This window comes from Homo sapiens, chromosome 21 (assembly GCF_000001405.40).
Source record: "Homo sapiens chromosome 21, GRCh38.p14 Primary Assembly".
Taxonomy (NCBI): domain Eukaryota; kingdom Metazoa; phylum Chordata; class Mammalia; order Primates; family Hominidae; genus Homo; species Homo sapiens.
Window position 1 is genome coordinate 33,588,942 of NC_000021.9, and position 27,641 is coordinate 33,616,582.

General features: G+C 40.9%; 1 protein-coding gene across 1 annotated transcript in view, besides 1 other annotated feature; it reads right to left on the bottom strand.

The window, feature by feature from the left end:
• CRYZL1 (crystallin zeta like 1) overlaps window positions 400-27,641 on the bottom strand; it is a 52,401-nt gene continuing 25,159 nt past the window's right edge. Inside the window, exons 6-13 of the mRNA NM_145858.3 lie at window positions 24,597-24,665; window positions 14,463-14,596; window positions 13,293-13,404; window positions 10,209-10,307; window positions 8,339-8,460; window positions 6,790-6,895; window positions 2,221-2,266; window positions 400-980 (exon numbers count right to left, since the gene is read on the bottom strand). Coding sequence (NP_665857.2) covers window positions 881-980; window positions 2,221-2,266; window positions 6,790-6,895; window positions 8,339-8,460; window positions 10,209-10,307; window positions 13,293-13,404; window positions 14,463-14,596; window positions 24,597-24,665 — 788 coding nt within the window. The 3' untranslated portion in view covers window positions 400-880. The remainder of the gene's footprint in view (window positions 981-2,220; window positions 2,267-6,789; window positions 6,896-8,338; window positions 8,461-10,208; window positions 10,308-13,292; window positions 13,405-14,462; window positions 14,597-24,596; window positions 24,666-27,641) is intronic.
• Window positions 16,898-16,987: an enhancer, noted in NCBI's record as "active region_18382". NCBI's record gives its function as "activates an Ori minimal core promoter by ATAC-STARR-seq in GM12878 lymphoblastoid cells {active_cell/tissue: GM12878}" and the evidence as "EXISTENCE:reporter gene assay evidence [ECO:0000049][PMID:35858748]".

Consider the following 27,641-nt stretch of genomic DNA (forward strand, 5'->3'; position numbering starts at 1 on the left):
GGGCGCTGATGTGCACTACCCTGTGGGGCACCGAAATAGCTTAACTCTATTTAAGCCCGCAGCAGGGATGTGATCAGCCCGGGGTTTGGCGCCTGGATGAAAAGGAAACAAACTTGAGCTGCGGCGATGGGCTGCTGCTTCCATAAACTTAAGAGAGGGCAGTGGCTACTGCTCTCAAGAGGCGAGGAGAGGGGACTAGGCCACCTTCCTCAACCCCCAGAGAACTCAGATAAGACGTCAGCACGCTTCCTATGCCAGCGCAGCCTACCGACATCCCTCCCTTCCCCGTTCCCAGTGCCTGGTCATCTCAGACTTCCAGGCAGCTGCCACTGGCAAGTTAATGGGATCTTCTTTGATCCTGGGGAAAGCCGGAGTGAATGAATAGTTGAAAACACAAAATTTAAGTGCCTATGGGCTAAGTCTTTTAAGACTTCAAAATATACTCAAATGCTTAAATTATGACAGCAAAGACTTAAGGAAGGTGTTGAGAACGGAGTTGATACAAAATTAATACGTTACTTTGATAGCTTAGCAAAGGCCTGCAACAGCTTTTATCAAGAGTAGTGTGACTTTTGCTGAAAGCAGCAGTTTTCTTCATGGAAGGAATTTTATAGCAGGGGCAAAATATATAGAAACAATGAAAAGGTTTTTAGAAAAATTCCCTTAAGATGTTAATTATAGAATTATCTTGATCATTTGCACAAGAATTTTTCAAACACTTTTCAAATGTGTCAACTGAGCATCTTGTCTTAGCAGAGAAACGTGCTTAAAAATGCAACTTGTTTTATCTTCCTTGGTTTTTCTCAACAATTTCCAAAGAAAATTCTGGCTTCAAATACTGGAATATGTTCATCCGACTGAGGTCTGAGAAAGAAGAAAATTAAAATTGAACAACTTGCTTTTTTCTTCCTTGATTTTTCTGAACAGCTTCCATGGAAACTTTTGCCTCATACAGTGGAATGGGTTCATCCAACTGAGGTCTGAGAAGGAATGAAATTAGAAATGTCAGGTCTAGTTAAAGATAAGTAGAACAAACAGGGTGGTATATGACAAATGCTAGTGCTCAAATCTATTAGTGTATTAATTAATTTTTTGAGACAGAGTCTGGCTCTCTCATCCAGGCTGGAGTGCAGTGGCACGATCTCAGCTCACTGCAACCTCCGGCTCCCGGGTTCAAGCAATTCTCATACTTCAGCCTCCTGAGTAGCTGGGATTACAGGCATGCACCATCAAGCCTGGCTAATTTTTGTATTTTTAGTAGAGATGGGTTTCACCATGTTGGCCAGGCTGGTCTTGAACTCCTAGCCTCAAGTGATCCACCCACCTTAGCCTCCCAAAGTGCTGGGATTACAGGCATGAGCCACTGCACCCGGCCTCAAATCTATTACTTTAAGTAATTCAAACAAATTCGTCCATTAGTGTTTCCAATGTTAAAAGTGGTTAAGTTTTGAAGGAAAAAAATTATCTACTTTATTTACTCCCTCTTTTTTTCTGAGACGGAGTTTCTCTTGTTGCCCAGGCTGGAGTGCAATGGTGTGATCTCGGCTCACTGCAACCTTCACCTCCCAGGTTCAAGCAATTCTCCTGCCCCAGCCTCCCAGTAGCTGGGATTATGGGCGTTCGCCACCACGCTCAGCGAATTTTTCTATTTTTTAGTAGAGACAGTGTTTTGCCATGTTGGCCAGGCTGGTCTCGAACTCCTGATCTCAGGTGATTCACCCACTTCAGCCTCCCAAAGTGCTGGGATTACAGGCGTGAGCCACCACGCCTGGCCTACTCCCTCTTTTATAACTGATAAACATATTCAACTTTAAACAAATATACCATGGTTTTCTCTCCTTCAAGCTATTGGTTACTTCAAGTTGCTTTGGGAGGGGTGATGAGGAAAAGCAAAGGGTGAGGTACACTACATAATGGAGTGAGGAAAACTCACAAGCCACTTCTATCTCTGCGAGTACCTACTGGTGTACCACCAGATACACTTTGATAAATATTAAAGAGCAGCTATTTAAACGAAATATAAGATCAGTGCAAAAGTAAATGCAGTTTTTGCCATTACTTTCAATGGCAAAAACCACAATTATGTTTGCACCAACCTAATAATAAAATATGGAGGCAACAGGTACATGGCGAGAGCTAAAACAAAAGTGGGACTGCCTGCCTTAGCTCCCTGAAAATAGAAAAACAAACAAGAACAATGATTTGGTTACTTTAGCGTACCTGAAAACACCAGTTGATAACTTCTCCATCACATCCTTTAAGATACGTAGCTGGAAGGATTGTTAAGGTGGCAATGTAAAGGAGAATTAAATAAAACCATTCAATAAGCAGAGGATGCCAGGCAGGCCACTTTCTCTTGTTTCAAGTTTTGCACTCTCAGAGACTCAACATGTTAAGTTAGAGAAATTCTGTAGGACGTCAAGTTTAGCTCTACAACAGGGAAATGATTTGAGAGTTGGTGGTGTAATAGAGCCTAAATTTCCAAGGACAAGTGACAAGAGCAGCAAGTCAAGCCTGGTGCTTATCCTAAGTGCTCACCACTATTATCTCAATGGATGCGAATGAAATAGTGTCTAGTTTTCATTTCTACACTACATATGGCATTTTTAGTTAAAAACAATTTTAGCACGTATATATCTTACTTTAGATGTACATTCGTTGACCAGGCTGGTTGGTTAATGGGCTCAAAATTTGTTTGCAGAAGCCAGTAAACTTTATGTGTGTATGATATACAGTCATCCCTCACGCATCCATGAGGGATTGGTTCCAGGACCCCCATGAAGACCAAAATCTCCAGATACTCAAGTCCCTTATAGAAAATAGTGCAGCAGCTTGGGAAACAAGGCTCTCTACAAAAAAATTAAAAATTAGCCAGGCATGGTGGCATGTGCCTGTTGCCCCAGCTACTGGGGAGGCTGAGGCAGGAGGATCCCTTGAGCACATGGGTTTGAGGTTACAGTGAGCTGGAATGAGCACTGCACTCCAGCCAGGGCAACAGAGCAATACCCTGTCTCAAAAGAAAAAAAAAAAGAAAGAAAAAAAAAATGGCCTAGTATTTGCATATAACCGAGGCACATCTCCATTATACATTAAGTCATCTCTATATTACTTATAATACCTAATGCAATGTAAATACTATGTAGATAGTGGTTATGCTATTTTTTTTGTTTTTTTTATTGTCGTATTATTACTTTTTCAGAGCTTTTTTTTTTTTTTTTTGAGACAGGGGCCCCCTCTGTGGCCCAGGCTAGAGTGCAGTGGCATGATCATGGCTCACTGCAGCCTCAACCTCTCAGGCTCTAGTGATCCTCAGCCTCCCAAGTAGCTGGGACCACAGCAATTCACCGCCACACCAGGTTAATTTATTTTTATTTTTGTATAGACAGGGTCTCCCTATGTTGCCCGGGCTGGTCTCAAACTCCTGAGATGAAGCCATCCTCCTGCCTCAGCCTCCCAAAGTGCTGGGATTACAGGCATGAGCCACTGCCCCCAGCCTCCAAATATTTTTGATCCTTGATTGGTTGAATCCCTGGATGTGGAACCCTCAGATACAGGGGGCTGATCGTATGTCACTAAGAGAATCAGAAAATGATGTAAAAATCAAAGAAAAAATCTATCTTGCTAATTTAATTGAAATTATAATACTAAGATCAAGATTCTATGTAATTGCCCGTACTTCTGAATTATTTATGGCCCAGAATGACACAGTTGGAAGGAGATGTCTCTGTTAAATCACAAGCAGCAACTTAGCTTGTATGAACTGAATGAGGAGGGTTTGCACAAGTGAGGACTACTGTATGATTCAGGACTTTAGAAAATGCAAATTAGGGCTGGGTGCGGTGGCTAACGCCTGTAATCCCAGCATTTTGGGAGGCTGTAGCAGGTGGATCACCTGAGGTCAAGAGTTCGAGACCAGCCTGACCAATATGGTGAAATCCTGCCTCTACTAAAAATACAAAAATTAGGTGGGCATGGTGGCATGCGCCTATAGTCTCAGCTACTTGGGAGGCTGAGACAGGAGAATTGCTTGAACCTGGGAGGCAGAGGTTGCAGTGAGCTGAGATGGCGCCACTTCACTCTAGCCTTGGTGACAGAGCGAGACTCTATCTCAAAAAAAAAAAAAAAGAAAGAAAGAAAATGCAAATTAGCAAATATAAGTCATTTAAAACATTTCTTTTTTTTTGAGACGGAGTCTCGCTATGTTGCCCAGGCTGGAGTGCAGTGGCACGACCTCGGCTCACTGCAAGCTCCGCCTCCTGGGTTCATGCCATTCTCCTGCCTCAGCCTCCCGAGTAGCTGGGACTACAGGTGCCCGCCACCATGCCTGGTTAATTTTTTGTATTTTTAGTAGAGAAGGGGTTTCACCATGTTCGCCAGGATGGTCTCAATCTCCTGACCTCGTGATCCGCCCACCTTGGCCTCCCAAAGTGCTGGGATTACAGGCGTGAGCCACCACACCTGGCCTAAAAATATTTTTAAAAGGAAACTAAAGAATATAAATTTACTAATTCACATCCCTGCAAGTTCCCTTCCTACTGCTGTTAATAAAATTCTTACCTGTGTGCAAAGCATGTATTTCTGATTCTGGAAAATGTACAGTATTTCATATACACATGTCATGTTTCAACTTGGTCCAAGGATTTGTCAAATAGGTTAAAATTGCCTTCTCATCGGGAGAGGTGGTTTGAGAGAATTAAGTTATATACTATAAGCAGAGCAGTCTAGTTTCCAACATGTAAGATTCAAAACTAATAGCTACAGCCGGGAGTGGTGGCCCATGCCTGTAATCCCAGCACTTTGGGAGGCTGAGGCGTGTGGATCACCTGAGGTTAGGCGTTTGAGACCAGCTTGACCAACATGGTGAAACTCCGTCTCTACTAAAAAATACAAAAAATTAGCCAGGCGTGGTGGCGCATGTCTGTAATCCCAGCTACTCAGGAGGCTGAGACAGGAGAATTGCTTGAACCCAGGAGTTGGAGGTTGCAGTGAGCCAAGCTCATGCCACTGCACTCCAGCCTGGGCAAGAGTGAGACTCTGTCTCAAAAAAAAAAAAAAAAAAAAAAAAAAAATCAAAACTAATAGCTACATAGTATTCTAACCTTAACTAATGTTACTTTTGTTAACTGTTACTTTTAATAGCCACATGGTATTCTCCACTGTAGCATCATTCCATGTTATTCTTAATAATTACAATGTTATTGGATTGGACATTTACTTTTTTTTTTTTTTTTGAGACAGAGTCTCGCTCTGTAGCTAAGCTGGAGTGCAGTGGCGCGATCTCAGCTCACTGCAACCTTCACTGCCTGGGTTCAAGCAATTCCCCTGCCTCAGCCTCTGGAGTAGCTGGGACTACAGGCGTGTGCCACCACACCCAACTAATTTTTTTTTTTTTGGTATTTTTAATAGAGACGGGGTTTCATCATGTTAGCCAGGATGGTCTCGATTTCCTGACCTCGTGATCCCCCACCTCGGCCTCCCAAAGTGCTGGGATTACAGGCATGAGCCACTGTGCCAGCTCATGTACCTTTTTAAAAAATGAAATTAATTAAAAATCCTTTTAGAAAGTTAAATCTAATTTTCAAATTTAATAGGAAATATTTAATCAGAAATAACTTTAAACTCATACATTCACTACATGAAGGGGTTTTGAAATCTACTCCTTAAAACTTAACACATGCAGTATACTAATTACGTAACTTTTTTTTTTTTTTTTTTTTTTTGAGATGGAGTCTCACTCTGTCACCAGGCTGGAGTGTAGTAGTGCAATCTTGGCTCACTGAAACCTCTGCCTCCCAGGTTCAAGCGATTCTTCTGCCTCAGCCTCATGAGTAGCTGGGATTACAGGCATGTGCCACCATGCCCGGCCTACATAACTACCTTAAAGCTCCGAATAAAGACTGTCATTGCTCCTGGAGGGAACTGGCCTTTATACATATCACACATATATGACTAGACACATTTAAGAAAAGTAACGTATGATATTCAGTAGAGAGAAGTGTAAGGCTATGTAAATCTTTCTTCAGACACACACATATGCTCTATCAAGTAATGATAACTTTTTTTTTATCCAATACATTAAAACTTTTACCAAGTGCTGCTGCCTCTAAGCCAGTCATTTTAGAAATAAAAGGAATTCTTAAGTTGACCCTACTCTAAAGAGGTTTGCACCTTTCTTTTTGAAATTGTTTGTATATTCCAAACTTTTTATTATTTTTACTCAACTGGAATGATTTGGCTTCAATCACACCAGACTTATCTCTGAATGACTTTTGTTTCAAAAAGTCAAACCTATCTTCATTTGATAAAGATTTCCTAGCATTGATATTTATAAAACACTCCACAAACTCTTTAATTTAGAAAAGTATTCTGAAATGTTTCTGTGCAATGGCACCATCATAGGAGTAAGTGTGCAACCTTTCAAGGTGATGTGTGCTTTCCTTAATGTGAGGTTAAAAACAAAATCTTCCAGGTATCTTAGGGCTCATCTCTGTTCAGAAAGGAGAGAGACTGCCTGAGTGTGATTCTTGCTCCGCCACTTGCTGCGTCCTTGAGTCTGTATCAACATCTCTGTGCTTCTGTTTCTTCACCTGTGAAATGGGGATGATAACAGTACTTACATCTCAAAAGGCTGTTTTAATGTTTAAATGAATACTTGCAAGGCACTTGGAATACTGTTTGGAATACTTAAGGAAACTTAACTGCTATTATTATTTCCTATTATCGTAATGAAAGAACTTAGTACAGTACAAAGTTCAAGCCAGAAACTCAATCAGTCGATAAAAAGGATATAAAGATATTTTCCCTGTTGTACATTTGACAAATTCCAAACTTCATCATTCAGGAAAGCTAACGTTGCTCCCTTGAGGAAAAGGCAGTGGCTATCTGGAGGATCCAACTTGGATAGAATGAAACAAAGACTAATCAATTATTGTGAGTTTAACAGCAGGATGACTGGTATCTCGAGTCAGAAAAACTTCTACACAAATTAAATGATGTCCAAATCACAAAAATATGCACATAAACTTTAATAACGTAAACGATAATATTTTCTATTTCATGGTCCAAAATGATGAAACAGCGAGGTGATAAGTACATGGCAGATGCAAGGCCAATCTAGAATCCTGGTGGTGAAGTGGTAGGGGTGTGTGTGTGTCTTTTCTGGCCATCTTCATGAGGGTGTTGGAAAATCAGTGAAGATTGGTAGGTGAGAATTACGGTATTTGCATATCAGCCATCATGTAAATATGTAACTAGAATGCTGAAAAATATAACCTTGAGAGATACATAAACATATATAGTAATTCCAATTTGAATAATTAGGAAATTGTGATAATTTTATATAGAAATATTTTGCTAAGTATATGTCAACAATGTCACCGAGAAAAAATGCTATCTGAAATACTATTAAAAATTCATGCCAGCGTGGTGGCTCACACCTGTAATCCCAGCACTTTGGGAGGCCGAGGCAGGTGGATCACCTGAGGTCAGAAGTTCAAGACCACCCTGGTCAACATGGTGAAACCCTGTCTCTACTAAATATACAAAAATTAACTGGGCGTGGTGGCGGGCGCCTGTAATCCCAGCTACTCAGGAGGCTGAGGCAGGAGAATCGCTTGAACCTGGGAGGCAGAGGTTGCAGTGAGCCGAGATCATGCCATTGTGCTCCAGCCTGGGCAACAAGAGCGAAACTTTGTTCCAAAAAATAAAAAAATAAAAAAATAAAATAAAATAAATTCGTAAGTCACATGTCTAAATCACTAAATAAAATTACACTTCATCGTCATTGAAAGGATGTCTCTACTAGGCAGTATTTCAACATTTTGGCCAACATGTTGCTAAAGTGAAAAAAAAAGCTACATTTCTTTCTGATATAAAATATGGAATGGAAAAAAAAAGCTAAATTTCTTTATTTTTCAGATTTTTTTCTTTTTTTTTTTTTGAGACAGAGTCTCACTCTGTGACCCAGGCTGGTGTGGAGTGGCGCAATCTCGGCTCACTACAACCTCCGCTTCCCAGGTTCAAGTAATTCTCATGCCTCAGCCCTCAGTCTCTCAAGGAGCTGGGAATATAAGCCTGTGCCACCATGCCTGGCTAATTTTTGTATTTTTTGTAGAGATGGGGTTTCACCATGTTGGCCAGGCTGGTCTTGAACTCCTGGCCTCAAGTGATCCGCCCGCCGCGGCCTCCCATAGTGCTGGACTCATAGGTGTGAGCCACCATGCCTGGCCCAGATTTTATACTAATTTAGTCATACCTTGCCTCAAATAACTTAGGCATTATTGTTTGTTAATTACACCCCTTTGGTGTAATGGTAACGCTTTATGGTTTCTGATAGTACCTGAAGGTTTTCTTCTGTTGTTACCCAGTGGCCTCCAACACCAAGAAGTGTGATGATATCATGTTTATGTGGTAGTAGTTGTAGTTTTACAGCTGGTTCATCATCTTTACTATATAATCTCACTTGCAAGGGAATAGTTTTAAAAAAAGAGAGAGAGAAGAAATATATTTTATAATAATCTGACAAAAATTTATTCTTCAAACAAGTTCTTATTTATTTAGAGACAAGGTCTTACTATGTTGCCCAGGCTGGCCTGGACTCCAGCAATCCTCCAGCCTCAGCCTCATGAGTAGTTGGGACTACAGGCACAGGCCACTGTGTCCGCCGGCACTCTCTTTTTGTTTTTTTTTTGAGACGGAGTCTCGCTCTGTCGCCCAGGCTGGAGTGCAGTGGCGCGATCTAGGCTCACTGCAAGCTCCGCCTCCCGGGTTCACGCCATCCTCCTGCCTCAGCCTCCTGAGTAGCTGGGACTACAAGCGCCGCCACCATGCCCGGCTAATTTTTTTTTGTATTTTTAGTAGAGACGGGGTTTCATTGTGTTAGCCAGGATGGTCTCAATCTCCTGACCTCGTGATCCGCCCGCCTCGGCCTCCCAAAGTGCTGGGATTACAGGCATGAGCCACAGCACCCAGCCCTCCTTACTTTTTAATGTACAAATGAGGAAATATTTTTCTTAGAAAAAGCAACACACAATGTATTCTGATACCTTAAAATCTACTTTTTGCATTAAACTGATCATAAAATTTATTCAACATTTAATTGTAATTTATTGTAAATCTACTTATTATAGAAATAAATAAAGATAAAAAGTCTATCTTCATTTGAAAACCAGGCAAAGTAATGTAACACATAACCAAATCTGACAATTAACACTGATAGCTTAATATAGTGAGATGAATTGATTCCCAATTAAAAAACTCATAGACTCAAGATAGTCTTAACATAATTACTGAAATGTCCATGTGAAAAAATGATGCAATAAAGTATGTATTTACTTCCACTGACAGATTTTCCTGAGCTATTTTCAAATCTTAGAAAATACTGGTTTAAAAAACCACACTATAGTCATAACCATATTCATCCATGATTCTCACATTAGAAGATAAATCCTACCAAAGTATAAATAGAAGCACTTTGCAGGCTCGTAAAGCCTATCCTTTAGAAGTCATGCTATTACTTAAGTGTGTTCAGAGTAAGTGTTAAATAAATACTGGTTAAACTAAAAACATTCAAGAAAAGTGAAACTGGAACAAATTTTGATATTTTCCAAATAGAGACTGCAGAAGTCAACTATCCAATCGAAGGCAGCCACACACAGCAGATGGGACTGAAAAGGCATGAGAATGATGCTGTGTTTTCTGGGAGCCACTGAGGAGGCCATGTTTCTAGATTTCTTGTAGCGATATGTCATTTGTTACTCTAATGTCTACACCAAGCTTGTCCAACTCGCAGCCTGCCCAGGATGGCATTAAATGCTGCCCAACACAAATTCGTAACTTTCTTAAAACATTATAAGACATTTTTGAGTTTTTTTTTTTTTTTTTGGCTCATAAGATATCATTAGTGTTACTGTATTTTATGTGTGGCCTAAGACAATTCTTCTTCCAATGTGGCCAGGGAAGCCAAAAGATTGGACACCCCTAGTCTACGCTGTAAAAGATAAGCATGTTCTCTCTTACATACAGCGCTTACAATGAGAATAAAGTGGAAGTTCCAATTTAAATTAAAAAGTCTTCAGTTAAAAACAAAACCTAAAACTGAACATCTGGTTTAATAAGTGCATTAATAATTATGCCCTGGTTAAATTTTTTTTCTTAAATTCATCAAACTAAAAAAACTACACAGGCTACTAATTTCATAAGGTACCTACCTCCAGCATCTAGGACAATATCTACTCCCAGGCCACCTGTTTCTTCCAAACAGCTTTCAGCAACATGAACTTTCCCATTAGATACATCAATCACTCGGGCTGTAAAGGACAGGAAATCAGGCAATTGTACTGTTCTCTATGTGATCAACACAAACAAATCAGGGAAAAAGAAAAAGAAAAGCAAATAAATATCTATTCTTGAAATGAGTTAAGCAATTCAAACAATTACTGAATTTAAAGGGAGAAAGTCAATTTAAATTATACTTTTTCTCATCTAACCCAATATGGGATATAGCAGTCTAAATGAAGAGACTTGTATATTTAATAAAACTAAAATGTGAACATTTTGTGGAGAAGGTGATCCAAGGCTGGTCTGTTGACACAGAGCACTATTCTCTACAGTTATAGGATATGTTGCCAGAATTAGGAATCTGAAAACACAGAGGTACATATATAATACGACATGAAATGGAAGATTAAGTCAGTTTCTTTTTTTTTTTCAGACAGGTTCTCACTCCATTGCCCAGAATGGAGTGCAGTGGTGTGATCACAGCCCAGTGCAGCCTTGAACTCCTGGGTTCAAGCAATCCTCCTGCCCTAGCCTCCCAAGTAGCTAGGACTACAGGTACATGCCACCACGCATGGCTATTTTTTTAATTTTTTTTTGTAGGGAGAGGGTCTTGCTATGTTGCCTAAGCTATTTTTGAACTCTTGGCTTCATGTGATCCTCCTGCCTTGGCCTCCTAAATCCCTGGGATTATAGGGTGAGCCACCACCCCCAGCTAGATTAAGTAGTTTCTCAAGTATGTTCATATTTAATAGTCTTTAGAGCTAAAAAACATAAAAATATACAGATGATATGCTCATCTTTACGATGGGCTACATCCCAATATACCCACCGTAAGTCAAAAATGCACTCTATACCCCAATAAACCGATCGTAACATTTAAAAAATCCTAAATCGAAACACTGTCAGCTGGGGACAGTCTGTATTTGTATAATATGGTAATTATCTACTAGAGGCTGTTTCACCCTTTCTCAGTCATAGAAATCTCCCTCTCTTCCCCACTTACTCTCCCAAATGAAGAAAAATCTTAAAGCTAAGGAAAAGGAGCATGATTTTTAGGCAAGTCAGTAAAAATTAAACAGATTTTAATTGGCTGCATTAAAGGATATTAGTAGTATCCTATTAATAGAATATAAATTATTGACAGAATTAAAAATAATTCTCAGAATTTTGAACTGGCAAATAACAACATGTTTGTATTTCCTTTCTCTATCTTTCAACACCTTCTAGCTGAAGAGAATTCCTCTTAGAGCTGCTCAGATTAGTGGTGTAGTCCAACAGAGTAATCTAGGACTTGGAGGCAAGGAGGAAGAGGACAAAAGGGAAAGGGGGACAAAGCAATCTAGGAAAGGCAAATTAACAAATAAGAAATTTTCCCTTCGTTCATGTTCTTTTTTTTAATACCATTCATGCTTTTTTTTTTTTTTGAGATGGAGTCTCGCTCTGTCACCCAGTCTGGAGTGCAGTGGCGCGATCTCGGCTCACTGCAAGCTCTGCCTCCCAGGTTCACGCCATTCTCCTGCCTCAGCCTCCCGAGTAGCTGGGACTACAGGTGCCCGCCACCATGCCAGCTAATTTTTTTTTTGTATTTTTAATAGAGACAGGTTTCACCATGTTAGCCAGTATGGTCTCCATCTCTGGACCTCATGATCTGCCCGCCTTGGCCTCCCAAAGTGCTGGGATTATAGGTATGAGCCACTGTGCCCGGTCCATAAAGTTTTTTTTTTTTTTTTTTTTGGGGGCGGACTGTCGCTCTGTTGCCCAGGCTGGAGTGCACTGACACGATCTCGGCTCACTGCAACCTCCACCTCCCAGGTTCTAGCAATTCTCCTGCCTTAGCCTCCTGAGTAGCTGGGATTACAGGCGTCTGCCACCACGCCCAGCTAATTTTTGTATTTTTAATAGAGATGGGGTTTCATCACGTTGGCCAGGCTGGTCTTGAACTCCTCACCTCAAGTGATCCACCCGCCTCGGCCTCCCAAAGTGCTGGGATTGCAGATGTGAGCCACCACGCCCAGCCTGTGCTCTTTCTCCATTCTATTTTCAGATCTCTTCTTTTTCCTTTTCTCCTCCTTTCTCCAGCCCCTGTATTGCCTTCCTTCTATTTCTTGGTTATCTCTGTCACAAGCATAATGTAACAGTGGAAATAATGTGAGCTTTACTGTCAGACAGGCCTGGGTTCAAATCTCATTCCAGTCCTTTACTAGGTGTATATCCTTGGAGAAGCTAGTTCTCTGAGGCTTGTCTCTAGTTCTTCCACACCCAGCCTGCATCAGGTGTTTCTAAACTGCATCAAAGTTCACCTAATTCAAAATTAAGTAAATTGTTGAAAACAATGGGGCAAACAGGAAAAAACATTGAAAAATGTAAGTTTAAAAAAAAATAATTAAAATTAAAACTATCACTTAAGTAAACTGGGGCTGGACATGGTGGCTCATGCCTGTAATTCCAGCACTTTGGGAGGCCAAGGTGGGTGCATTGCTTGAGCTCAGAAGTTTGATACCAGCCTAGGCAACATGGCTAAACCCGTCTCTACAAAAAATACAAAAAATTAGCTGGGCGTGATGGCATATGCCTGTAGTCCCAGCTACTCAGGTGGCTGAGGTGGGAGGATCACCTGACCCTGGGGAGGTCCATACTGCAGTGAGCCACGATTGTGCCATTGTACTCCAGCTGGGTGACACAGTGAGACCCTGTTTCAAAAAAAAAAAAAAAAGCAAATTGGGAGATAGCACATACACTGCATTTTGAAACTGACTTTCATTTGGGATTTTATAAATTCTTTTTTTTTTTTTTTAAGATTATATATAGATGAGGTCTTCTATGTTGCTCAGGCTGGTCTCAAACTCCTGGGCTCAAGCAATCCTCCCATCCTGGCTTCCCAAGGTGCTGAGGTTACAGTTGTGAGCCACTGCACCTGGCCAGGGATTTTGTACTTGGTTTTACAAGTACATTTTTAAAGGTGATTTTCCTTCAAAATTTCCTGTTTTAAAGTCTGTGCTCATAATATTACCCACCTATGGGAGGTCTGAATCTTTCAAGGCACTGCTTATCTTCAAGGCTGCATGCTGTTGAAATCACTTTGGCTCCTCTATGATGTGCTAACTGAATAGCTATTGTACCAAATGCCTGTGTAGAAAAAAATATACAGTGGGTGTATGGTTATAGAACAGAGGCCATATCGAATTGATTTCTTTATATTATTTAATAAAGTATAATTCTTTAGTGTTACTTTAGTATATTTTAAAATGTTATCTAATAGGAAAAGAGCAAAGTTATGGGCAAGTTTAATAGGGGAAATATTTGATTGACTTTCTTCTTTACAAGGGGTGGTGGAAAAGCTGCATGTCACACGCTGTCACTCAGTCTGACCACAGCACATAATTTCAAGGATGGAGGGCCACATTCAGACACATGGCCTTGCAAAGAGAAAACTGGGCCTTGTCAATGCGATGGTCTAAGCTAATTATATACTATATATGGGAGTCCAGCTATCTCTCTTTGAAGATCAAAACACTTCAAAAGCTCCATCCTGTTCAGACCTATAGGGTAAGTTTGGGGAAACACTACTATCCTGATGTTGGATATCAGGCTGAAGCCAGTGCTGAAGACAGCTTTGCCTTTTCTTCAAAGAAAAGCAGGAAGAAAGCATTTCATCACAAGCCAGTTAGAAAATAAAACTATAAGTTAATTTCAAGATTTTCTTAACATTTTTAGATGACAATATTTTATGTATTCTTTTAGTGTCTTGAACTATTTTTTGATATATGTAATATGTTTAAATTAGGACGTGTTGATCTTTTGTGTGATCCATCTATACATAAAATGCCAATACTTGATCAACGTAAGTGTGAGGGTGGGAAATAGGCTACAAAGCTATTAGGGAATTCTGGACTATGACTTCAAAGGCTCATGTGGCATCTTAGGCTTTGTCTAACAGGAATGAATAAAAATGGCTTGTCTTTTTAATGTACCAGCAGATTCAAAGTCATAAACTAATCACACTAAATCTAACTTTGATCTTCTATTGATAAAAGCTGCTTATTATAACAAAATAGGACACTGGAAAAAAAGTCAATCAATAAGCTATTGGCAAAGAATTATATTAGCAAATGGATGGCTCATTGCTAAATTTCCTAAGTTTACTGTATGCTTGTCTGTTTCTTAACAAAACCATTAGCACCTACACTTGCTCCATCCATTATCAGCACTGATTTTCCAGGAGAGAGATGAGAAAGATAATGCAGAGCTGTATAGGCACGCACTCCATCCCGAATGCTTCCTGCTGCTTCCGTCCATGTGACCTTTTCTGGTTTATGAACTATCATAAAGAACAAGAAGAAACAATCTGTTAGCAAGTCCCACAAGTCCTACCTCCTGGATCTATTTCTCTCCATCTCTAGTACTACTATGGCCCTGGTCCAAGCCCCTACTCCCATTCTCTCTCACCTACAATACTTTCCATTATTTGCCCATGAATAATTCTCCATATAGGAGTCAGTGTGTGTGTATTTTTAAAACTTTTTATATTGTGAAATAAAATGTGCAGAAAAAGTATGTAAAATATAAAATATAGCTGGATGAATAAATATAAAGGAAATATGCAAAGTTAACGGTATACCATCCTGGTGGAGAGAGAGCACAACCATCACCCCAGCAGCCTCTTCTCTCCTCACCAAAGGTCACCACCATTCTCATGCAATTTCTTATTTGTATCACTCATTAGTACGCATTCCTAAACAATACAATTTCCTGGCCTGGCGTGGTGGCTCACGCCTGTAATCCCAGCACTTTGGGAGGCCGAGGCAGGCAGATCACGAGGTCAGGAGATCGAGACCATCCTGACTGACACGGTGAAACCCCGTCTCTGGCCGGGCGTGGTGGCTCACGCTTGTAATCCTAGCACTTTGGGAGGCCGAGGCGGGCGGATCACGAGCTCAGGAGATCGAGACCACGGTGAAACCCCGTCTCTACTGAAAATACAAAAAATTAGCCAGGCGTGGTGGCGGGCGCCTGTATTCCCAGCTACTCGGAGAGGCTGAGGCAAGAGAATGGTGTGAACCCGGGAGGCAGAGCTTGTAGCGAGCAGAGCTCATGCCAATGCACTCCAGCCTGGGTGACACAGCGAGACTCCGTCTCAAAAAAAAAAAAAAAAAAAAAAAAGTAGCCAGGCGTGGTGGCAGGCGCCTTTGGTCCCAACTACTGGAGAGGCTGAGGCAGGAGAATGGTGTGAACCCGGGAGGTGGAGGTTGCAGTGAGCTAAGATTGCACCACTGCACTCCAGCCTGGGTGACAGAGCAAGACTCCGTCTCAAAAAAAAAAAAAAAAAAATTTCATATTGCCAAGGCTTTAAACTTTATCTGAATGGAATCATACCATATGCATTCTTTTCTACCTTGCTTTTTATGTTCCATATTATGTTTTTAAGGCATCCATTCTGTGGATGAGGCTGTTAGAGCACTTTCATTCTTGTTGTTTTATGGCATTCCAATATATTAAAAACACCTTCATTTGCTTACCCATTGTTTAGCTGATGAACATTTGTGTTGTCTCCAATTTTTGTCAGTTACAAACAATGCTGCTAAGTGTGTTCGTATATGAAAAATATTGTTACACCGTGCATGGGTTTTCCTAGGATACTTAAATTGGAGTGGAAATCCTAGGTCCCAGGTATATTATCTGTTCCTTAACTACACCTTTCCAAAGTAATTGCATCAATTTACTTTCCCACAGTAGTGTCCTGTTGCTGTGAATGTCCTTGTCAACTTGTGGAATGATCACATTTATATATTTTTACCAATTATGTAGGTAGGTAATAGTTTCTTACTATGATTTTAATTTGCTTTCTCTGACTACTAAAAGAGGTTGAGCATCTTTCCATGTTCACTGGCCATCTGGAATTCCTTTTGTGAATTCCTTTTTCAAGTGTTAATCAATTTTTCTATTGTTTTGTCTTTTTCTTATTTAGAGCTTTACAGGAATTCTTTATATATTCTAGAGAAGTCATTTGTTCATGTGCTGTAAATATTATTTTCAACTTTGTGCCTTCTGTTTTCAATCTCTTTAACAGTATCTTTAAAAAACAGAATCATCAGAATGATATTTTAAAAAGATAACTGACATCCTAACAATTCCCTGCTTAAAATTTATCAATGGCTTTACACTGTACTTGGAACCAAATGCAACTCCTAATATAGTTTAAAAAGTTCCGCATGATCTGACCGTGAAACTATTCCTTAACATGTTTCACTATTTAATTTTTGTTTTGTATTTATGTTGTACACTGATGTAATTTTTCCGCAGTACAAGAATTCTTTTTTTTTTGAGATGGAGTCTCACTCTGTCGCCAGGCTGGAGTGCAGTGGTGTGATCTTGGCTCACTGCACCCTCCCCCTCCTGGGTTCAAGCAATTCTCCTGCCTCAGCCTCCCAAGTAGCTGGGATTACAGGTGCACACCACCAGGCCTGGCTAATTTTTGTATTTTTTTAGTAGAGACGGGGTTTCACCATGTTGGCCAGGCTGGTCTCGAACTCCTGACCTCAGGTGATCTGCCTACCTTGGCCTCCCAAAGTGCCGGGATTACAGGTGTAAGCCACCACGCCTGGCCAAGAAATTCTTTCTCATTTTACCTAAGATCAACTTTATAACACTTTCACAGTCTTTACCAGCTCTTTGAAATGCTTCCTCTAGTAGCAATGATTCATGTGGACTAGCCAGAGTAGTCAGCACTGCATTTAGCAACAAACTAGTGCCATCTAGTGGGCGAAGTGGAGCATTCAAACATGCATGTTGAAATGCTCAGACAAGAGCTGAGAATTAAAACAGTAAAAACATATTAAGCACCAGGTGATAGCACACACAGTACTTTATTCCTTAGGTAACTCTTTAAGATAGCTATTCTCCCAATTTTACGGATGATGAAATAGGGTTCAGGGTAATTGATTAATTTGTCTAATGCCACATAGCTCATAAGGTGAATATATGACTTTAAAGCACATCTATTTCAACAGTGCACGCTCAATCAACGTATAATTTACTTATTGGGAACATCTTCTATCAAAAGGATTGGGACTACCATATTTTTATTAAAAACTCAATCATGTTGTCCTTAAAGAAATGCTAACTGCGGCCAGGCAAGGTGGCTCACACCTGTAATCCCAGCACTTTGGGAGGCCAAGGTAGGCAGATCACCTGAGGTCAGGAGTTTGAGACTAGCCTGGCCAACATGGTGAAACCCCGTCTCTACTAAAAATACAAAAATTAGCCAGGCATGGTGGCAGGCACCTGTAATTCCAGCTACTTGGGAGGCTGAGGCAGGAGAATCGCTTGAACCCAGGAGATGGAGGTTGCGGTGAGCTGAGATCGCGCCATTGCACTCCAGACTAGGTGACAGGGCAAGACTTTGTCTCAAAAAAAAAATTGCATGGTTAGATGTGGGTTAATGTCAACACACTTGCTTTTGTGTTGGGGGTCCACAGGTGTTTATTATGTTATAAAAACTAAACAAATAAGGCCAGGTGCAGTGGCTCACACCTGTAATCCCAGCACTATGGGAGGCCGAGACAGGCAGAGCACCTGAGGTCAGGAGTTCAAGACCAGCCTGACCAACATGGAGAAACCCCATCTCTACTAAAAATACAAAAAATTAGTCAGGCGTGGTGGCGCATGCCTGTAATCCCAGCTACTTGGGAGGCTGAGGCAGGAGAATCACTTGAACCCAGGAGGCAGAGGTTGCAGTGAGCTGAGATCACACCATTCATTGCACTCCAGCCTGGGCAACAAGAGTGCAACTCCATCTCAAAAAACAATTAAACAAATAAATGCGAGCCATATTTCAGCATCTAAGAATTATAATTTGATCTCTTTCTAGTTTAGCTCCAAAGGAATAAAAACAACAATGCTGAAAATTTTGAATGAAAAATAAAATTAGTTTTAGGCTTGACAGAATTGCTTAAGAACTGAAAAGTACAAAAGAGTTGGAAGAATTACTCTACTCTTTAACTCTATTATCAAGTTTGAGAAATAGGACTAACACCACATTTTGGGGGAATGTTTGAAACATAGCTCTTTGGTTTGGTAAAGAACAGACTTATTTGAGTTGAAAGTGACTGAGCACTGAGCACTCATTAAACAATCATGAAGGCTGGCATAGTGGCTCATACCTGTAATGCCAGCACTTTGGGAGGCCAAGGCGGGAAGATCACTTGAGCTCAGGAGTTAGAGACCAGCCTGGGCAACATGGCAAGACAGTTTCTACAAAAAAAAGTTAGCCAGACATGGTGGTGCATGCCTATTGTCCCAGCTACTTGGGAGGCTGAGGTGGGAGGATCTCTTGAACCCAGGAGTTTGAGGCTGCAGTGAATTGTGATAATTCCACTTCACTGCAGCCTGGGCTACAGAGTAAGACCCTGTCTCAAAAATAAACAAGCAAACAAAAAACAAAACACCAAAGACAAATTAAAAATAAAAACAAATTATATACAAAAAAAATCACCAGGAAAGTAATAGAAACTAAAATAGAGTTGTGGTGAACTGAAAGTTTTCCCCTACAAACTTGCCGGGAAACTGAAATTATTCCCTTTTACAAAAGGTTGGAGCTACAACAGAGATTACAGGTTATTCAGTTGAGTGTCCTCATTTATAGATGCAGTCAGCATGCCTAGGATCTAGCCTAAAGGTCACACTGTTAGTCATCATTCTTTTTTTTTTAAACATTGTAAATTGACAAGTTATAATTGTATAAATTTATGGGGCACAAAATGATGCTATGATTTACGAATACAATGTGGAATAATTAAATCAAGCAAGTTAACATAGCCATCATCTCAAATACTTAACATATTTTATGATGAAAACATTTGAAATTTACTCTCAGCAATTTTGAAATGTACAATACTCTATTATTAACTATACTCACCATGCTGTGCAAAGAACTGAAAATAAAAACATATCCCTTGGCTGGGCGCGGTGGCTCACGCCTATAATCCCAGCACTTTGGGAGGCCGAGGTGGGCAGGTCACCTGAGGTCAGGAGTTCGAGACGGGCCTGGCCAGCATGGAGAAACCCCGTCTCTACTAAAAATACAAAAAGTAGCCAGGTGTGGCGGCTGGCACCTGTAATCCCAGCTACTCGGGAGGCTGAGGCAGGAGAATTGCTTGAACCTGGGAGGCGGAGGTTGCAGTGAGCCGAGATCACGCCATTGCACTCCAGCCTGGGCAATAAGAGCAAAACTCCATCTCATGAATAAACAAATAAATAAAAACATATCCCTCCTGTTTAGCTGAGATTTTATACCCTTTGTCCATCAACACTCCATTCTCCCCAGCCCGCAGCCTCTGTAGCCACCATTCTACTCTCTGCCTCTATGAGTTTGTTTTAGATTCCACATAGAAGTGAGAACATGCTGTATCTGCCTTTCTGTGCCTGGCTTATTTCACTCAGCATAGTGCTCTCCATTTCCATCTGTGTTGTCACAAATGACACAATTTCCTGCTTTTTAAAGGCTGAACAGTATTCCATTGTGTATATCTATATCATATTATTCATTCATCTGGACACTTAGGTTGAGTCCACAACTTGGCTGTTGTGAATAGTGCTGCAATGAATATGGGAGTGCAAGACATCTGATTTCAAAGCTTCCGGGAAAATATCCAGAAGGAGGATTACTGAATCATATGGTAATTCTATGTTTTGATTTTTGAGGAACATTCATACACTTTCCATAATGACTGTACTAGTTTACATTCTCACCAATAGCGTACAAAGTTTCCCTTTTCTCCACATTCTCGCCAATACTTACCTTTCATCTTTTTGGTAACAGCTATTCTGACAGGTATGAGATGGTATTTCTTTGTGGTTTTAATTTGCATTTCCCTAATGATTACTGATGTCGAGTATTTTTTCACATGTCTTCTTTTGAGAAATGTCTATTCAGGTCCTTTGACCCTTTTCTAATTGTTTTTTTCTTCTTGCTGTTTTCTGAGCTCCTTCTATATCACTATATTAACCCCTTATCAGATGTACGGCTTATCAACATTTTCCCCCAGTCTGTAGGCTGTCTCTGCACACTGTTGTTTCCTTTGCTGTGTAAGAGCTCCTTCTTAAAGTACTACTTTTTTTCTGAGACAGGCTAGAGTGCAGTGGCGCAAATACAGCTAACAGTAGCCTCAACCTCCTAGGTTCAAGCGATTCTTCCTTCTCAGCCTCCCAAGCAGCTGGGACTATAGGCACACACCACCATATCTAGTTATTATTTATTTATTTTTTTTATTTCTTGTAGAGATGGGGTTTCACCATGTTATCCAGGCTAGTCTCGGACTCCTGAGCTCAAGCAATTGGCTCTGCCTTGGCCTCCCAAAGTGCTGGGATTATTGGTGTGAGCTACTGTGCTTGGCCTAGTACTTTTTTTTTTTAAACAAACTTTTTGTTGAGATGATCTTGCTATGTTGCCCATTCTTAAAGTCTTTCTTTCCTTCTCTTCTCTTTTCTTTTCTTTTCAGACAGAGTCTCGCTCTATCGCTCTGTTGCCCAGGCTGGAGTGCAGTGGCGCGATCTCGGCTCACTGCAAGCTCCACCTCCCAGGTTCACGCCATTCTCCTGCCTCAGCCTCCTGAGTAGCTGGGACTACAGGCACCTGCCACCACGCCCGGCTAATTTTTTTGTATTTTTTAGTAGAGAGGGGGTTTCACTGTGTTAGCCAGGATGGTCTCGATCTCCTGACCTTGTGATCCGCCCGCCTCGGCCTCCCAAAGTGCTGGGATTACAGGCGTGAGCCACCATGCCTAGCCTTTTTTTTTTTTTTTTACAAAATTTTATTTGCTGGTAGAGACAAGCAAGTTGCCAAGGCTGGTCTTGAACTCCTGGGCTCAAGCAATCCTCCTACCTCAGCCTCCCAAAATGTTGGGATTATAGGCATGAGCCACCACACCCAGCCTTAAAGTACTTATTTTATGCTATTTTATTTTTTTGAGACAGAGTCTTGCTCTGTTGCCCAGGCTGGAGTACAGTGGCACAATTTTGGCTCACCTCTGTCTCCTGGGTTCAAGCGAGTCTCGTGCCTCATCCTCTTGAGTAGCTCGGACTACAGGCATGTGCCACCACAGCTGGCTAATTTTTTATATTTTTAGTAGAGACGGGGTTTTGTCATGTTGGCCAGGCTGGTCTCAAACTTTTGAGGGGTTCCACCTGCCTTGGCCTCCCAAAGTGCTGGGATTACAGGCATGAGCCACCACGCCTGTCGTACTTCTTTTAAAGAAACATTTTGCTGTGTTTTCTTCCTCAAGGAATATCTGCAATTGTTTTCTCTATATACTTTAATGGATTTCTGGACTTTAATCCATCCTCCTGATTTATAAATAAGGTAGAAGAAAAAGGCCATTTGTGTGGTTTGCCGGTCTTAGCTTAAACTTTATAGCTAGAAAATGGATGCTCTAATTTGCTTTTCTCCTTCTGGTCCATGTCATAATTCTCCAGTGTTCATCAGTGCCTAAAGGAATGGGCCTTGTTTGGTTGTTTTTTTTTTTTTTTTTTTTTTTTGAGACAGAGTCTTACTCTGTCACCGAGGCTGGAGTACAGTGGCACTGTTGGCTCACTGCAACCTCCGTCTCCTGAGTTCAAGCGATTCTCCTGCCTCAGCCTCCCGAGTAGCTGGGATTACAGGCGCCCACGACCATGCCCGGCTAGTTTTTATATTTTTAGTAGAGACGGGTTTCACCATGTTGGCCAGGCTGGTCTCGGACTCCTGACCTCAGGCGATCCACCCATCTCGGCCTCCCAAAGTGCTGGGATTACAGGCATGAGCCACCGCGCCCAGCCAATTGTTGTTGTTTTTAATAATTTATCTTCTATAGCAATTTAGTTTTGGTTACTTAATGAAAAGACTCCATATTCACAACGTACTCGAAAGAACAGGGCAATAAGGCCAACCATTCAAGGAAACTCTGGGGCCAAAAATAGGATAGTTTCCTGTAAAGGAGCCCGTGGCAGTCCTCAAATTTCAAACTGCACAATTTCAAGATAGCTCTGGATTAGAGACTCTCACTGCGTGGTATTTGAAAGAGGTCTTTATCTTTCAAAGGAAGACACACACTTGGCTCCTCACTAGGCTTCATGTACGTTCCAATAAGTGCAGCCCTCAGATCTCTGAAAAAGTGTCTTTTGGAAATTAATTTTTAATAAAATAATAAAGTATTATTGGAAATTTTAGATATAATGAATGACATTAATTTAAATAAAAATTACTTTAAATTTATAATTTTAGAAATGAAATGCCAAAGATTTGGTAGCCTAGCTCAAGTTACTGTAAGGACTTAACTGAGTAAGATTACTATTTTTGGAAGACCCAAATCCAAATTAGCCTCTGTCCCCAAAAGGTCTGATTAGAGATCACATTATTTAAGAAAAGAACTTAGGAAAAGGTTTAATTCAATAGTTCAAGAACATAAGAGAAGGTATTTGCTACTATGGATATGGTATGAAGAACATAATGAATTCCAGCATAAGAAATATATGCTGGCTGTACCACTGGAGTCCTGGTGTATCCACTGACCACATCTTCCTCCCCTGCTCACACAGGTAACTTCCACCCAACTTTCCATCCTCTACCTTTTCTCTATATCCTTAAATAACATATGCTTAATTTTGTACATTTTTGAACTGTATATAAATAAATGGCATGGGACTGTTTGTATTCTTCTGTAACTTGCTTTTTTCACTCAATGCTGTTTGTGAGAGTCATCCACTTTGATATGTTTAGCTCTTACTCATTTTCACTGCTCAATAGAAATTCATTCTATGAATATTTTCAATTATCTATTTGCTTGGTGATGGACATTTGGGCTGTTTCCAGTTTCTTTCACTATTACAAATAAGCTGCTATCAACTCTTATGCAGTATGCCTCCTAGTGCACATCAAATTTCCATAGGCTACATGAGTGGAATTACTAGGTCTGGTATATATACATCATTAATTAGATAAAGCTAAATTGTTTTCTAACATATTTGTACCAACTTACACTCCAGCACATGAAAGGTTCCATCATTCCACATCCTTCCCACACTTTGGGATGGTCATTTTTTTTTTTTTTTTGAGATGAAGTCTCACTCTTGTCACCCAGGCTGGAGTGCAGTGGTGCCATCTCGGCTCCCTGTAACCTCCACCTCCCGGGTTCAAGTGATTCTCCTGCCTCAGCCTCCCGAGTAGCTGGGATTACAGGCGTGCGCCAACAGCCCAGCTAAGATTTTTTGTATTTTTAGTAGAGACAGAGTTTCACCATGTTGGCCAGGCTGGTCTCAAACTCCTGACCTCAAATGATCTGCTCGCCTCAGCGTCCCAAAGTGCTAGGATCACAGGCGTGAGCCGCTGCGCCTGGCTGATGGTCAGACTTTTTAACTTTTGTCAGTCTGGTGGATGCATAATGTTATCTCTAAGTGGTTTTAATTGCTTTCCCCTGATTACTTAGGAGATGAAGCAACTGTTTAATATGGTTTCATGAAGTGTGTGTGTGTGTACATGTACTTTAAATATTCAAAAAATAAATTACCATAAGAAAAATTAAAAACGAATATTTCAGTTAAACTCAACACTAGTCAAAAGATATTAGAAACCAAAGATAAGTGCTCTTTTTTTTTCTTTTTTGAGACAGAGTCTCGCTCTGTCACCCAGGCTGTAGTGCAGTGGTGCAATCTCAGCTCCATCTCCAGAGTTCAAGCAATTCTCATGCCTCATCCTCCTGAGTAGCTGGAATTATAGGTGCGTGTCACCACACCCAGCTAATTTTTTTGTCTTTTCAGTAGAGACCAGGTTTTGCTATGTTGGCCTGGCTGGTCCCAAACTCCTGGCCTCAGGTGACCTGCCCACCTTGGCCTCCCAAAGTGCTGGGATTACAGGTGTGAGCCACCACACCTAGCTTGAGATGAGTGTTCTTGATTCTTTCCCGTCTCAAACTCTCCATGTACTGTCTAAATTTTATATGTTTTTTGTTTCAGTCAATAACCAAGAGTAAAAAAAAATTTTTAATTCTGATTAGGTATATAATTTAAGAGCCAAGAGAGAAATCACTTTTCAAAGATCTTACCATGAGCAGTGTTAGTAAAACTTAAAGGTCTATATATTGTTTAGTCTGAATATGAATTTTATGAATACTAATTATAAGCTAGAAGTATTCACATGACCAGCCAACATTTTTTACATACATGACTGGCTAATGATACTTTATTAAGTACAACACTTATGGTAGATTCAAAAAAATTAAAATGTTATTAAACCATATGTCAGTGAAGTAAGACTTATGTGAGCTCCAAAGTACTGAATTGCTACATACCCAAGTAATGCTCATGTACTCTAACAACTTCACAAAGTCCAGGGTCTTCAGAGTCCAGGGGCAAAATTCCTAAAAATCAAAACAAGAAATTAAAGGGATGTAAGTCAAAAATTCATTCCTAATGAGAGGCCAGTATTATTACAAATTTTGTTCAGTGAAATTTTGAGGAAGGTTCCAGTAATTACTAGTGTGGACAAGAAAAAATTCAGAAATGGGATGGGAAGTGCACTGTGCCACTCCTGCTATCGCTTTCTTCTTTCCCCTCTGAGTGACAGTAAGATGATGGCTGATGTTATAGAACAAAGTCAGAGTCTTGGGAGCATCTGGACTCCTTGTTAAAACTCTCCCTGATGGGCTGGGCGTGGTGGCTCACGCCTGTAATCCCAGCACTTTGGGAGGCCGAGGCAGGTGAATCATGAGGTCAGGAGTTTGAGACCAGCCTGGCCAACATGGAGAAACCCTGTCTCTACTAAAAATATAAAAAATTAGCTGGGCATAGTGGCAGGCGCCTGTAATCCCAGCTACTCAGGAGGCTGAGGCAGGAGAATCGCTTGAACCTGGGAGGTGGAGGTTGTAGTGAGCTGAGATTACACCACTGCATTCCAGCCCGGCCGACAGTGCGAGACTCTGTGTCAAAAAAAAAAAAAAAAAAAATTGTCCCTGATGGGTTGGGCATGGTGGTTCACACTTGTAATCCAACACTTTGGGAGGCCAAGGCAGGAGGATTGCTTGAGGCCAGGAGTTCAAAGCCAGCCTGGTCAACATAGTGAGACCTCATCTCTACAGAAGAAAAATTTAAAGATTAGTTGGATATCATGGTATGCACCTGTAGTTCTAGCTATTGAGGAGGCTGAGGCAGGAGGACTGCTTGAGTCCAGGAGTTCAGGGCTGCAATGAGCCATGATTACACCACTGCACTCCAGCCTGGGTGACAAGAGCAAGATTCTGTCTCAAACTAAGAAACAAATAAACAAAATTGTCCTTGATGCATAGCTACCTTCCTATAGTTTGGTTCCATGACATACCTCAGTATGTTTCAATTCTTTTTTTTTGAGACAGAGTCTCGCTCTGTTGCCTAGGCTGGAGTGCAATGGCGCGATCTCAGCCCACTGCAACCTCCGCCTCCTGGGTTCAAGCGATTCTCCTGCCTCAGCCTCCCGAGTAGCTGGGATTACAGGCGTGCACCACCACGCCCAGCTAATCTTTGTATTATTAGTAGAGACACAGTTTCACCACATTGGCCAGGCTGGTCTCGAACTCCTGATCTTGTGATCCACCCACCTCAGCCTCTCAAAGTGCTGGGATTACAGGTGTGAGCCACTACACCCAGCCAGAGTATGTTTCTAATAAAATCCCATTTTTCTTCTAAGCTAGTCTGATTTTGTTTTTGGTTTCTCACAAAAAGAATCTTGAATAATACAGAGTGCCACTGATTTCCTGAGCAGAATAAAAAGACAAGAAAGAAATAATCAATTCTCCAGGATAATGCCTGAGTCAAAGGCAATACTATAAAAAGCTGATGAAAACTTTCTTACAAATCTATCCTTTAAGAATTTCAAGCATGCTATAATTTTAACGCTATAAGGCTAAATATTTTTTCTTTCTTTTCTTTCTCTCTTTTTTTTTTTTTTTTTTGGACAAGGTCTCCCTCTGTCACCAGGCTGGAGTACAGTGGTGTGATCATGGCTCACTGCATCCTCAAACTTCCAGGCTCAGGCGATCTCCCACCTCAGCCTCCTGAGTAGCTGGGACCACAGGTGTGTGCCACCACGCCTGGCTAATTTTTGTATTTTTTATGTAGAGTCGAGCTTTTGCAATGTTGCCCAGGCTGGTCTTGAACTACTGGGCTCAAGTGATCTTCCTGTCTTGGCCTCACAGAGTGCTAGGATTACAGGTGTGAGCCACCACATAATATATATTATATGGCCCTATATAATACAAGTTATATAAATGTTTTCTAACTTTATGTCTTCCACAGAGAAATGAAAATTTCAAGGATTACTATAAAAGTCATAGCCTATGTTTGTGTGACTGTCTAGGATGCAGGTTGCAACTATAAAAGTCATAGCCTATGTTTGTGTGACTGTCTAGGACACAGGTTGCAAAATTGCAAAAATACTGTGGATTTTAAAAAACAATAAAAGTTTTAAGTCAATTTTTAGTTTTACAAGAGTTGTAAGAGAAAAGCTCTGTATGATTTCAGTTGAAACGGTGCATGGAGCTTCTATATGGCCCAGTCAGTCAGCAGCCTTCAAGCATGTGACTTGTAACTTTCCTTCTCCCTAAAGACTTCAGTCTGGCCACAGACTAAGCATCTGCCAGAAAAAGGCTACACCAAGCACTATAGCAACTATGATTATCTTTTTATCTATAAAACTGTTCTACAGCTAAATATATATATTTTTTATTATACTTTAAGTTTTAGGGTACATGTGCACATTGTGCAGGTTAGTTACATATGTATACATATGCCATGCTGGTGCGCTGCACCCACTAACTCGTCATCTAGCATTAGGTATATCTCCCAATGCTATCCCTCCCCCCCCCAACCCCACCACAGTCCCCAGAGTGTGATATTCCCCTTCCTGTGTCCATCTGATCTCATTGTTCAATTCCCACCTATGAGTGAGAATATGCGGTGTTTGGTTTTTTGTTCTTGTGAGTTTTAAATGTTCTGCTATTGCAATCAAGGTCCCAATTTTTATCATCAATAGAAATTTGACAGTAAATTCCAAAAACCAGGAAAGCATTTCTTTCTTTCTTTATTTTTTTGAGATGGAGTTTCATTCTTCTTGCCCAGGCTGGAGTGCAATGGTGTGATCTCGGCTCACCACAACCTCTGCCTCCTGGGTTTAAGCAATTTTCCTGCCTCAGCCTCCTGAGTAGCTGGGATTACAGGCATGTGCCACCATGCCTGGCTAATTTTGTATTTTTAGTAGAGACGAGGTTTCTCCATGTTGGTCAGGCTGGTCTCGAACTCCCGACCTCAGGTGATTCGCCCACCTTGGCCTCCCAACGTGCTGGGATTACAGACGTGAGCCACAG